At 36.3% G+C, this 13731-nt stretch overlaps 1 protein-coding gene across 8 annotated transcripts in view; it reads left to right on the forward strand.

Annotated features, from left to right (window-relative positions):
* The window catches only part of PDLIM5 (PDZ and LIM domain 5), a 216282-nt gene that overhangs the window by 61075 nt on the left and 141476 nt on the right, over positions 1–13731 (forward strand). For 7 of the 8 annotated variants that reach the window (NM_006457.5, NM_001256426.2, NM_001256427.2 and 4 more), the window contains exon 3: positions 10708–10859. The exons of the other annotated variant lie outside the window; for it this stretch is intronic. In NM_006457.5, coding sequence (NP_006448.5) covers positions 10708–10859 — 152 coding nt within the window. The remainder of the gene's footprint in view (positions 1–10707; positions 10860–13731) is intronic. 8 annotated transcript variants of the gene reach the window in all.

Genomic DNA, 13731 nt, shown 5'->3' on the forward strand with positions numbered 1-13731 from the left:
CACTTCTGTTGAAAATGAGTTTCTTGCAGGTATGTGGATTTGTTTCCGGATTCTCTATTCTGTTCATTGGTTTATATTTCTGTTTTTATCAGTACCATGCTGTTTTGGTTAATATAACCCTGTAGTGTAATTTGAAATAAGGTAATGTGATTCCTCCAGTTTTGTTCTTTGTGCTAAGGATAGCTTTGGCTATTCTGGGTCTTTTATGTTTCCACGTAAATTTTAGGATTGCTTTTTCTGTTTCTGTGAAGAATGTCATTGGTATTTTGATAGAGATTCCATTGAATTTATAGATTGCTTTGGGCAGTATGGACATTTTAACAATATTGATTCTTTCAATCCATGAACATGGAATATCTTTCCATTTGTTCCTGTCCTCTTCCATTTCTTTCATCAGCATTTTATAGTTTTCATTGTAGAGATCTTCTTTGGATAAGTTAATTCTGAGGTACTTAATTTAATTTGTGGCTGTTGTAAATGGGATTACTTTTTTGAATTGTTCATTTTTGGCATATAGAAATGCTACTGATTTTTGTGTGTTGACTTTGTATCCTGCAACTTTACTGAATTTGTTTATTAGTTCTAAATGGTTTGTGTGCGTGTGTGTATTCTTCAGGTTTTTCCAAATATAAGATCATATCATCTGCAAATAAGGATAATTTGACTTCTTCCTCTCCAGTTTGGAACGTTGTATCTTTTTTGTTTGTTTGTTTGATTGTTCTAGCTAGGACTTCCAGTACTGTGTTGAGTAAGAGTGATGAAAATGGCCATTCTTGTCATGTTGCAGATTTTAGAGGAAAGGTTTTCAGTTTTTCCCCATTCAGTATGATACTAGCTGTGGGTCTGTCATATATGGCTTTTATTATGTTGTGGTATGTTCCTCTATTCCCAGTTTTTTGAGGGTTTATATCATGTAGGGATGTTGATTTTATCAAATGCTTTTTCAGCATCAATTGAAATGATCATATGGTTTTTGTCCTTCATCTTGTTGATATGATGTATCACACTGATTAATTTACATTTGTTTAACCATCCTTGCATCCCAGGGATAAATCCCACTTGGTCATGGTGAATGATCTTTCTAATGTATTGTTGAATTCGGTTTGCTAGTATTTTCTTTTTTTTTTTTTTTTTTTGAGACGGAGTCTTACGTGGTCGCCAAGGCTGGAGTGCAGTGGCGCAATCTGGGCTCACTGCAAGCTCTGCCTCCTGGGTTCATGCCATTCTCCTCTCTCAGCCTCCCAAGTAGCTGGGACTACAGGTGCCCACCATCACGCCCAGCTAATTTTTTGTATTTTTAGTAGAGGCGGGGTTTCACCATGTTAGCCAGGATGGTCTCAATCTCCTGACCTTGTGATCTGCCCACCTTGGCCTCCCAAAGTGCTGGGATTACAGGCGTGAGCCACTTCGCCTGGCCTCGGTTTGCAGTATTTTCTGGAGGATTTTTGCATCAATGTTCATTAGAGATATTGGCCTGCAGTTTTCTTTTTCTGATGTGTCTTTGTCTGGTTTTGGAATCAGGGTAATACTGGCCTCATATAATGAATTTGAAAATATTCCCTTCTTTTTTACTTTTCAGAACAGTTTAAGTAGGATTGTATTAGTTCTTCAGATGTTTGGTAGACTTCAGCAATGAAGCCATTGGGTCCAAGGCTTTTCTTTACTGGGAGACTTTCTGTTACGGCTTTGGTCTCATTACTTACTATTGGTCTGTTCAGGTTTTGGATTTCTTCCTGGTTCAGTCTTGGTAAGTTATATGTGTCTAGGAATTTGTCCCTTCTTCTAGATTTTCCAATTTATTGGCATACAGTTGCTCATAGTAGCCACTAATGATCCTTTGGATTTCTGCAGTATCAGTAGTAATTTAGTCTCCTTTTTAATTTCTGATTTTATTTTTAAATGTGCATACTTTTTAAGAAAGAATTTCTAAAGAAAAGATACATATGCCAAAATAGAAGTATAATATTATTCATCACTTTATGTATAACAACAAAAAAATTAGGAAGTAACTTAAAAGACTAAATAGTAGCCTGTTGACTAAATACCTTTGATTTGCAGTGTGGCAGTTCATCAGATGTTTATTGTGTTTTGTGTTTACGTCTGTGTATGATAGCCCTAAATAGAAATATAAGATACAGTTAGTTTGAGGAGCATTGTATTATGGAGAGTTGGGTACACATGTGAAAAGTGGAATAGTATAAAACAGTAGATGAGAGAAAGAGCCTTGCCTCTTCTTTAATATCTTTTCTTAGAATTGAAGGTAATGCCTTATGGGAATAGGGCCTTATTAAATGTTAATGATTAACATTTTGAAGATTATTAAGGTTTTTAAAAAGCGAATCCCTGTTTTTATAAGCTATACTTACCTTAGCATGTGAAATCATGATTTTGCACTATTTGGAATAAGCATTCTGTTTTAAAAGTTCTTAAATTTTCTTGAGCTTTTTGTTTTGAAATATCTTTAGCTTGTGGGTTTTGAAAGGCCTGTGATTTTTCCTCCTGTCGTAGAAGTATGCTGGCCTGGTGTTTACCAACCACACTTAGAGAAACTCTGTTCTCACATTTCATTAAATCGTAAGTTCCTATAATTTTTTTGGTTATAGACGCCTTTGAGGATTTGTGAAAAGTCGTGGTCCCACTCAATGGAATATACATGCATGCTTGCACAGAATTTGCATACAATTTCAGAAGATTTGTCTCATCATTGAGGGAGGGTTGAAATGTATGATTATCATTGTTAATCCATTCCCAGGTATGCTAGATTTGACTAATTTGCTTTTAGTCTTTATAATTATTTGTGACATTTCCTATCATTTCTCTCACTATTCCAGAGTAGGCTATATAGAAACACTGATTTCTCTGTAATTAACAAATTTGTTTGATTTTCAGATGTTTGTGGATGTGTTCTTTTTACAGACTATCATACTTTCACATTTCTAGTAGGATATTCACACATTAACACTTTGGATTTAGACATATGTAGATTAGCTATAAGTCAGAAGTGTTAATGAGGCATCTCAATAGTAAATCACAGTTGATGAAGACATGTTTCTATTTATTAGGACTTTGGTAGAGTAGAGTAAGATGCTGTTTTACTAAATAAGGGCTCATCATAGGAAATAAACTTAGACTACTAGAACAGACCGTGCTGTATCAGCAAAAGCCCTGTGTTTGAACTAGATAGCTCCATGGCTACATAAGGAAAAGAGACATAATTGTCCTCTTCTGTTTGCTTTTATAAGGGAGGATGACACGTACTTTGAGGTATTCTCCTCATTGCTACCATATAAGGTGTATTCTCTAACTTTTGAGTAAAATTGGCATAACCAAAATAAGGCCCACTGTTAAAGTAAGTACTGCTCATATGAGTCAGGATTACACATTTGCTCACAGAGAGACATCGGTGATTGCTTGTTTTATTTCCCTACCATTCTAACCTACAAAAAGCCTTATCATTTTATTTCACAGAAAAAGGTAATAAATCCAAAGCAGTCTCTCTCTCTCTCTCTCTCTCTCTTTTTTAGTTGGTATGAGGTCTCACTTGTTACCCAGGCTGGAGTATGGTAGTGCAATCATGGCTCACTGCAGCCTCGATCTCCTGGGCTCAGGTCGTCCTCCTGCCTCAGCCTCCTGAGTAGCTGGGACCACAGGTCCCAGATGGCACACACCATGCCCATCCAAATTTTTTAATTTTTTGTAGAGATAGGGTCTCACTATGCTGCCCAGGCTGGTCTCAAACTCCTGGGCTCAAGCGATCCTCCCACCTCAGTCTCCCAAAGTGCTAGTATTACAGGCATGAACCACTGTGCCCACCCCAGCCTTAGATTTTAAGAGGGATGTTTACATTAGACACATAAACCAGAGATTGACATTTTAAATGTAGTTGAATAGCATTTGTAGACTGCTCAAAGTGCCAACATTATATAACAACAAGTAGTGCAGGACAGAACAATGTTAAATGCTGAAGTGTGATATTATAAGGTAGATTAATAAGCACTAGGATGATAATAAACCAATTAGGATTTGAAAAAAGCTTTAATGCATATATGCGGGGGGGACATCACATCACACATTTTCTTTACTTCTGCTCACTTTACTAGTCCCTCAGTTGCTCGTAAAAACTTCACCGGGATTTTATTTATTTGTGTTGTTGAGTGGGTTGAGTAGTACCTATTGTTGGCAGGAAAGCAAGTTCTGTGAAAGTTCTCTGTCATAGGTGTAATGCTCACACATTCTTATGTAGGTGTTTTGCAAGGGGGTGGTGACGCAAAAAGTCACATAGTCACGTTTATGGTATCCTGGGAAATATGTGGGAGAGAGATAACTAGAAACTGTCAACCATAGTCTTATATGTCCAGATTCAAATTTTTTATTTGACAGCAGGTACTGGAAAATATATTTTAAAACAAAATTCAAGATTGCTCATTAATTAGATTTTAAGAAAAATAACACTTTCTCAGTGCTTTTTCTGCCTCAAGAAAGTCTTGTTTGTCAGACTGATATAATTTTATTAGCATAATTCTTCAAATTTTGGTAACAGCACTGTCAGAAAAACAACAGCTTCCATTTTCCCATGGTTTGGTTCCCAGGGTTTTTGGACATGGGAAATTTCTGTTAGTGTTTCTTTCTGTAGCCCTCATGTTTATATGTTCCTTTTTTACATTTACTATATCTGATGGCATTCCTGCCATACCCATAGTGTTAGGGTCATGTGTTTCCAAGCATTCCATATTTGTTGAAAATATGCAGAAGATTGAAACTTGCCCTTTGGTAGTGGCTCTTTATATAGGTACACGTCTCCTACTTGTTGCCTGTAGTACATTATAGGATAATCACCAAAGTAAATTTCTTTTGAATCAGCATAAATTGTTCTATTTAGTAAACATCTGACTATTAAAATGGTGTTACCTGTCCATATTATAAATCATTTCTATTGCTGATGCCTATTTTCTTAGTTTGGCAACTGCTGGCTTATTTCCAAGGAAACGCAAATAGAGGTTATTGTGTACATTTTGAGTATTTCCTGCAATTTAGAAGGATAAATTTCATATATAGACAATTCTAAGACATTGGAGTCACTGTTGCGATTAAACATCGTGCCTTTTTATGGAAAAGCTTAGGGCATGTAGGAGCTATATTGAATGATCATATTCAAGAGAAATCTTAGATGGTTAGACTTATTTAAAATGATATCTGCCATAATGGGTTATAATTTTTAAAAATGAAAGCTCTATTGGTTTGTTTGTGATAGAAGTGCTCTCAAGAGGTAATAGCTAAGGGGAAGGCTTAGTGTAGCAGGTATATCCAACTCCTTATAAATCCTAAATAACATACTTGTTTGTGGATAAGTTTTCCATTTAGTGCACATTTGAGTTCCTTGTCTAAGTGTTCTGCTGTCTTGAGATATTAATATTTTATTTTCAGTGTAATTTTATAAAGACACAGTACTACTTTTTCTCTTATTGTTAAAATGATTAGGAACAAATGCTGGAACATTGTATGTGGAGGCTAAGCATTTTGGGTAATTTTAGTTATAAATTTTATTTGAGAACAATAAATTAATGACATGTTTAAAGGCACGCAAGTATTACTGTGAGAAAATTTACTCGAAATTATAGTTACTAATTATGTTCATGTATATTATTTTAAATGCAAATCAAAACATAGAATCTTCTCTTTTCTATAATTAATCATTATTTTGATGTTCTGTTCTGTTTAGATATTATTTTGTGCATATGTACTTGGATGTATATCACACCTAGAGATAAAGCCTGGATCTCACTTTCCAACACCGGGGACATCTTTGTTTCCTCATGGTCTTGGTTCCCTCCTCTGCCTTCTATACCGGTACTCTTCTTTGTTTCCCTGTTCTCTTTTTTTCTTTTATTCCTGTCCTTCTCTGGCCTCCAGCTCAAGGCTTCTTCACCAACATCGCTTTATTGCTTCTTATCCTTTGGCCTTTTGGTACAGTGGCAACACCTAACTGTCCTGAGAAGTGACAAGAGGCCACCATTCTTTAGGAATCGATTTTGGGAAACTCATAATTGGATAGTAGTAAGCAGGGAAGGAGGATGCAGTGAATTACGTTCTGAATGTGTGGCATATTCATCTCTGTTGCTGAGTGAGGGGAAAGTTAGGCTTAGAGAAGCAGAAGGAAGTTTAAGGAAGGAAGTGAAAAGCCAGAAGGAGGTCTGACCGGTCAGTTTGAAACGCTGTCTTCTCTGCCCTGTATGACCTTGAAGTAGGCTTCCTGCCTATGTGAATTTGTGACATTGTGTAAGAATAAACAATAATATTGAGCATTTCCGGTGCATTTTGTGGTATGTGCTGTCCTGGTGTTTTATTTAACCTGCCCAGCAGCTCTGTGAGGCAGGTGGAATTATAGTCCTCATTTTCAAAGAGTGGAAGCTGGGACTTAGAGAGGTCAAGTAAATTCGGGTCACACAACCAGCAAATGGCAGAACATGAATATAAACTCATATTTGCCTGACTTCAAAGCCTGTGCTCAGTATTGTAGTCTTATTGTTGTATGGACATAGACAAGTTATTTAATCACGTTGAAGCTCTGTTTTCCCATCTGTAAAACAGACAACTACCTTACAAAACAGAGGAATGATGAAGCATCCTCCAAAGTCCCCGATTTACTGTTCATGCTTGGTAGATTATAGTACTAATTACTTTTTCTGGGTTGTTTCTTTCTTAGGACAGTAAAACACTATATGAGAGGAGCTACCTTCCTAAAATGACTGAAAAAAAATTTATCTTTGGGTCTTTCCTAGTAAAGTAAGATGGGCAAGCTCAAGGATCTGATTCCATTTTCTTTTACATTCTCTCCCAAATTCCCACAGTCTTTCCTATCTGCTTGCTGAAGACTGGACTTCCTTTTCAAGAGAAGACTTCTTGTCATCCATGATTACAGATAAAAGGGTTAAAATGCAGCTGTTCCTAGGGATGAGTTTTAATCTAAGTACAGATAACTGATATTAGATCCTTTCGTACTGAAGTTAATGGGGAGGCTTGGTAAAGATAACACTCTCTTCAGGAGCATACAGTTTTCTGGTTTTCCTTCATTTCAGCATCAGTGAACAGACCTGAACTCAGAGGCAGTTCCAACATGTACAGCCATGTGTGCTTGCAACTGAGGTGAGACCACAAAGTAATGTTTTTGAAGAAGCACTCAGCTACAATTAAAGTCTGTGGAAAATTGGATAGCAGTACTGAAAAATGCATTTAAAGATCAAAAAGGAAGCATTTGCTTGTGATTAGTTTGATTTATGCTGAGCTCGACCCAGGAGCCTCCCACAACTGCTTCCTTCCTACACTGTGCTTTTATGAAATACATACACACTTATGGCTGCCGTGTACAAGATATACTGATGACAGATAGTAAACTACTGCTTTAAACAAATGCAAGCTATTCAGACCTGAAAAACAGTGAAACAAACAAATCAAAAAAAGAGCTATGCAAATGATGAATGACTTTGTAGTCTTTCCTTGGCTGCTTAGATTCATAATGCTACATCCTACCCAATTAAGAGAAAAGTAACGTTTATCTTTCTAATGAGTGAACAGATTGAGGAAGTGGTTCTGGAGATAAATGAAGCTCATAGGAGTATTTAGTTAAGTGCTCCTTTTTACAAGTCCTAAATTTGTTTTTCTGTGTATTGGGCATTTCCCACTATGTATAGCATTGGTTCAAGCTGATCATGCCCTTAAGTTTACATCTTATGAGTAGGAAGCCTGGGTAGAGAATAATGAAAATGGTTAGAGATTCCAAAAAGACATCAGTGTGGAAAACTCAAGATGATTAATATTACCAGGCTGAAAAACTGTAAACAAAAAGGAGTTTGTATGGCATTTTAAATATATGAAAGATTGTTCAGATGTTGATGGGCATTTGTTTCCATTTGTGCTAATTGATTGAGAAAGAATTAAGATTCAGTACAGTTAAGTTCTTCCTAATAATTGTTATACAAAGTTGCCAAGGGAAGTTGTGAAAGTTTTAGAAAACCTACAATATTCAAGGCTCTTGGAGAAGAGCAAATTATAAAACATGATCCCTGACCTTATGGAGCTTGTTTTGAAGCTGGAAACAGATTGGTGACAAATTATAGATGGCTTGTATTTTCTCTACATTGTAGGAAGCAGAAGACATTTGCAATTTTTCTACTCTCATTTTATAAATAGGGAGTTGATATGATTAGAACTTTCCAGTGCGAGAGGTAATGGGGCCACCATTCGGGAATGTTAAGATGGAAGAAAAGGAGACAAATATGGAGAATGTGAAGGTAGGAAAGGTCTGTAGAAAACTCTAGTGGAAGGCAAGTAGGCTATAGGCAAGAGCAATGTGAAAGATGATCAAGACTTGGACTGTCATAGGAGAGGAATGGAAGGATGGACAGATCACATTTACATTGTTACATTTAGTAATTTTCCTAGATGTGGTACTTAAGGAAGAGGCAGAATCCATGTGGCTATAGGATTCCTGTGCTCCATGATCTGAAAATAAGGGTGACAGAATAAACGTGGTCCTAGAAAGAAAGGTAATTCTAAGAAATTGATTTTGAACGTCTTGAGATGATAGCCTCTCAAGAGATCTAGTATGTAAAGGGAGCAGAATAAGAAAAGTTATCTGGTTATGACATTGTCTTTGATTCCATTATTTTCTTTCTACGATGTTCATTACCTTTATATTACTACTGAACTAGGAGTATTTAAGTTGCTTCTGTTGGGTACACTTAGAACAAATGCCCATAGATTTCAGTGTTTCTGTTTTCAGACTACTTTATGTGAGGATGGTGAGGTAATTTAACTGCATTCTATTTCTAGTTAATTTTTTGTTTAATGCCTGCCCTTCTTTGCTAAAATAAAATCTAGGATGACTTATGTTTACTTTCTCTCATTACAAAGATGTCAAATTTTATTTCATTTGCTGATTTTAGTAGGGAATAGATGTCCCTTTGTCTCACAGAAGTCTTCCAGATTTGACTTTTATTTTAGGATTAAACATGTAACTTTGTATAGGTGGCAGTTCACAGATAAACTTTTAAAACTGGCAGGGACCTTAGAAGGCCTCTGAGATCGTCTAGTGCAGGCCCTGCATTTCTCAGATCAGTAATCTGAGGTCAAGGGAATAATAATACAGTAATAGCTAACATTTATTCAACTATATTATCTATGTGTAATCGTGATAACCTGATAGCATAAGTGGAACGACCTTCCCGAAGTCCCAGAGAAAGTGGCGTATAGCTCACTCGCTTTCAGAACTGTTTTCTTTAAATGTTTTCTAAAATCATTAGGTTTTTTTTTAAACTGTGATAAAATAAACATAACATAAAAGTTAACCATGTTTATCATTTTATTTTTTATTTTTTGAGGGGATGGAGTCTTGCTCTGTTGCCCAAGCTGGAGTGCAGTTGCACGATCTCAGCTCACTGCAACCTCTGCCTCCCGGGTTCAAGCAATTCTCCTGTCTCAGCCTCCCGAGTAGCTGGGATTACAGGCATGCACCACCACGCCCGGCTGATTTTTGTATTTTTGGTAGAGATGGGGTTTCACCATGTTGGCCAGGCTGGTCTCAAACTTCTCACCTCAAGTGATCTGCCTGTCTCGGCCTCCCAAAGTAGTTTATCATTTTAAAATGTATAATTCAGTTGCATTCACTGAATATAGTCACGGTGTTGTGCGACCTTCTGACTTACCTAGTTCTAGAACTTTTTCATCATCACAAACAGAAACTCTGTATAAGATTTTAGTTTCAAGTACTAGAGAAATACTGGTTATTTACTTGCTTTTTCGGGCCTAGTCTCTCCCATCTTCCAGCAACTCAGTATTCAGTGTGATCTACTTATACTTACTGAATGCTGAGCTGTCATATGAATTTGAATGGTTTCTTTAATTTGTACTTGTTTCATATTTCTAGATATCTATGAAAAGTTCACTGTCACTTAGTATAATATATCTGCTTCTTTTGGGGCAATGAAATATATACACACGAAATTTGAAGGAGATCAGACTAAATAATGTAAACACATAGAAGATTTTATTGAGCAGGGGAAGAAAGACTAAGGATTAAGGACTGTGACATGCACAAAAAAGTTGGGTTGTCTCAGATATAAAGAGTTTCCCTTCTGCAAATGCCTAGAGCAGGAAGCACACCCAGTATAAAAGATATTTGGGCTTGGAATCTGAAAGAATTCAATCCCCAAACCCTGGATATGAACTGGACTCAACAGGAAGGATTGTTTAGCAGATCTTCCCTCTCTGTTCCTCTTTGTGCTCAAACAAAAATACAGCTGTTAAAAGAGTTTTAAAAAATTATTTCTAAAAGAGTATAAAAACCCCATTCAGATTGCATTCTTTTTATTCTGCTAAAATGTGAAGTTTCCTTGGCTGCTTCTCTTCCTGATTCATAAAAATCACACAACTACTGTTGCACAATAAAGAAATGGAGAAATGATCAGGGAATCTTTCTCAGAAAATTCAGTTTTTTTTTATAGAGCAAATAAGAATTTAAGAAAATAAACATTTAAATCATTTGAATTTTATCTTTACATGCTAAAATTCTGTACATGTTAAACAAGACAGTTTTATGTTACTTCAATAGTATATTAATATACTTTTGGTATAAGCAAAAGTATAATTTTTATCAGCATTTATTATTCTTTTTCAAAGAGTGACACTCCTAATGAAATATATTTATTACAGCTAAAAGATGGCGGCAAGGCAGCCCAGGCAAATGTAAGAATAGGCGATGTGGTTCTCAGCATTGATGGAATAAATGCACAAGGAATGACTCATCTTGAAGCCCAGAATAAGATTAAGGGTTGTACAGGCTCTTTGAATATGACTCTGCAAAGGTAAGTTGCTTTTTGTTTGTCCCTGAAAGAGAAAACAACATTGAGGAATGTGTTTTTGTGTGTCTGACTCACGGTGTTAACTAAGACTCAGTTTCTGCTACCATCATTTCAGGTAAATAAAAAATATAATGGCTCTTAAATTGGATAATTAAGCAGCAAGAGAATTGCTGAAAGCTATGAGTTATTTCCCCATCAAAAGGCATGTATTCCCATACTAATAAAAATTGTGTGGGCCTGTAATCCCAGCACTTTGGGAGGCCAAGGCGGGAGGATTGGTTGAGCTAAGGAGTTTGAGACCAGCTGGCCAATATAATGAGTCCTCGTCTCTACAAAACATAAAAAAATTAGCCAGGCGTGGTGGCGTGTGCCTGTAGTCCCAGCTATCCAGGAGGCTGAGGCAGGAGGATTGCTTGAGCCCAGGAGGTCGAGGTTGCATTAAGCTCTGATCGTGCCACCACACTCCAGTCTGGGTGACAGAACGAGACCCTGTCTCAAAAAAAAAAAAAAAAAAAAAAAAAATTGTGTATACAGCTTCAGAGAATTCAGGAATTCTTGAAATTTCTCAATGGAGTGCAGGCTAAGAATTCTTTCTGTTAGGTAAAATTCTGAGCATTATATTAAAGGGTATTCTTTTAGGATATGATTTGGCTTTCATTAGTTTGTCCTTTTCTCTTTTTTTTTTTCTGAGTAGAAAATTTTTAATAGAGTCATTTGAAGGCTGGACTTTTTGAACTTATTGCTTTCTAAAGTCACTCTGGCCTCAAGTTATAAAATAATTAATCATCACATTGTTTATAATATATCAGGTATTTTGAGCATCCCATCATTTGAAACCTGCACCAAAATCATCTGGAGTGCTTGTTAAAAATACTGATGTCTATACTGAATCCGAATTTCTGGAAGGAAAGACCAGGAGTTATATTTATTGAAGTTCTCTGTGGTTATTATGACTTACAAAGTTTGATCACTGTAGTATCCTGGGCTGAAGGCAAGGGAGGAGAAAGAGGGAATGCAGAGTGATGGAAGGGTAGCTGTGAACCTTCAGCTTTATAATGAAGGTAGCTTGATCATATACGAGGTAGTTATGGAGATTTTAAGCAAATCTTGTTTTTGATGGTTACAAAAAGTGTTCTGAATTCTATCAAATTTGGAAAACACCACTTTTTCTCCCTCCCCAATCTCTTCCATAATTATATTGCATATAATTATCTTAGTCTTCCATAAATTATCATGCATATTATGAATCTTTAAGAGGGAAATAGGCTGGGCGCTGTGGCTCACGCCTGTAATCCCAGTACTTTGGGAGGCTGAGGTGGGTGGATCACCTGAGGTCAGAAGTTTGAGACCAGCCTGGCCAACATGGTGAAACCCAGTCTCTACTATAAATACAAAAATTAGATGGGTGTGGTGGTGCATGCCTGTAATCCTAGCTACTTGGGGGCTGAGGCAGGAGAATCACTTGAACTCTAGAGGTGGAGGTTGCAGTGAGCCAAGATCTTGCCACTGCACTCCAGCCTGGGCAACGGAGCGACACTCTGTCGCCCCACCCCCCAAAAAAATATTAAAAAAAAAGAGGGAAATAAAACCTGGTACCTTCCCAACATATTTGGCTATGGAACCTTTTTCTTGGAGCCTCTCCTAGGAGTCGTGTTTTGTGAAAAACACTTAGGCAGTGCTTCTCTGCTTTTTGCTACTGCTGTCCTAGGTGATTGCTAGTGAAAGGATTTCTATAGGATAAATTATATTTACCTGAGTATCAATTTGGTATTAAAACTGAATAGGAAATTGTTTTTGCAAACTTTGACTTAGACATACAGATCTATTTTGAGGTATTGTGACTTTCTAAGCAGTTTCCTCTTTAGGGTCTTTTTAAAAAACTTAGAGAAATTCTTTTCAGTGGGACTGCTGAATCAATGTTTATATGTATTTTGAATTTTGATAGGCTATTAGCTATACATTTTAATGCGTAGGAAAGTAGTCAATAAGAAAAGTAATTGGTTATAAAAAAATTTGTTTCATTAGTATTCTTCTGTTCTCTATATTGAGACATGTAACATGAAAGTTGTTACTAATCACATGAAAGTAAAGTCATTTTTAATTTACCAAGTATGAATTTTGAAGGGAAATCAAGAGGTCAAGAAGCTTAACTTGTTTGAGATATCAAGAAAGCAAAACAAATAGAGATGATGACAGGCTGTTTTACACATTCTAAAACTGAAAGTTTATTTAAGGGTATGAGCTCTTTCATGGGTTGCGTACAATTTCTTTCATACCAGCCTGCTTGTTTTCACATTGTGCTGCTTATTTTATGACCCAGGAACCAGAATCTTATTTTCTATTGAAAACACTTCTGAGCCCCATAAGAGTAGATAAAAACCAGATGTTGCCCTGTTTGGATGCCTTTCCAATTTATGTAATCTGCTACTGATTCTAATAAAGATTCTTTAAGGCTGCTTAAATACAGAATCTGACAAACCAACTTACAAAATTGACTTGTTATAAACATTTGAGTATACTACTTAATCATATCTTCATATTTCTAAATAATAGACATTCAAGGACCCAAACTATTAGGGAGTATTTTAGAGTCCCATTATTATTCATTGGCGTTCTCTTCAAGTTTTTGAGCAGTTCTTGTGTTAGGTAATGTCAGCCTGTTTTGATAGAGTGTGTGGTTAACAAAATTCGTAGTATAACATTGACAGTGCTACTGAAGAAATACTTTTGCCTTTTAAGGAAAAAAATACAACTTTGAAGAGTTATCTTTGATTCTTTTCTATACCAGGACCATTCTCTCCTTAAGTTTTCTCTCTTATATCAAAGTAAGTATGTTTTCCAAGTTTGAACAGCATTTCTTTCTTTCTTTTTTTTT

Source organism: Homo sapiens, chromosome 4 (genome assembly GCF_000001405.40).
Source record: "Homo sapiens chromosome 4, GRCh38.p14 Primary Assembly".
NCBI lineage: Eukaryota > Metazoa > Chordata > Mammalia > Primates > Hominidae > Homo > Homo sapiens.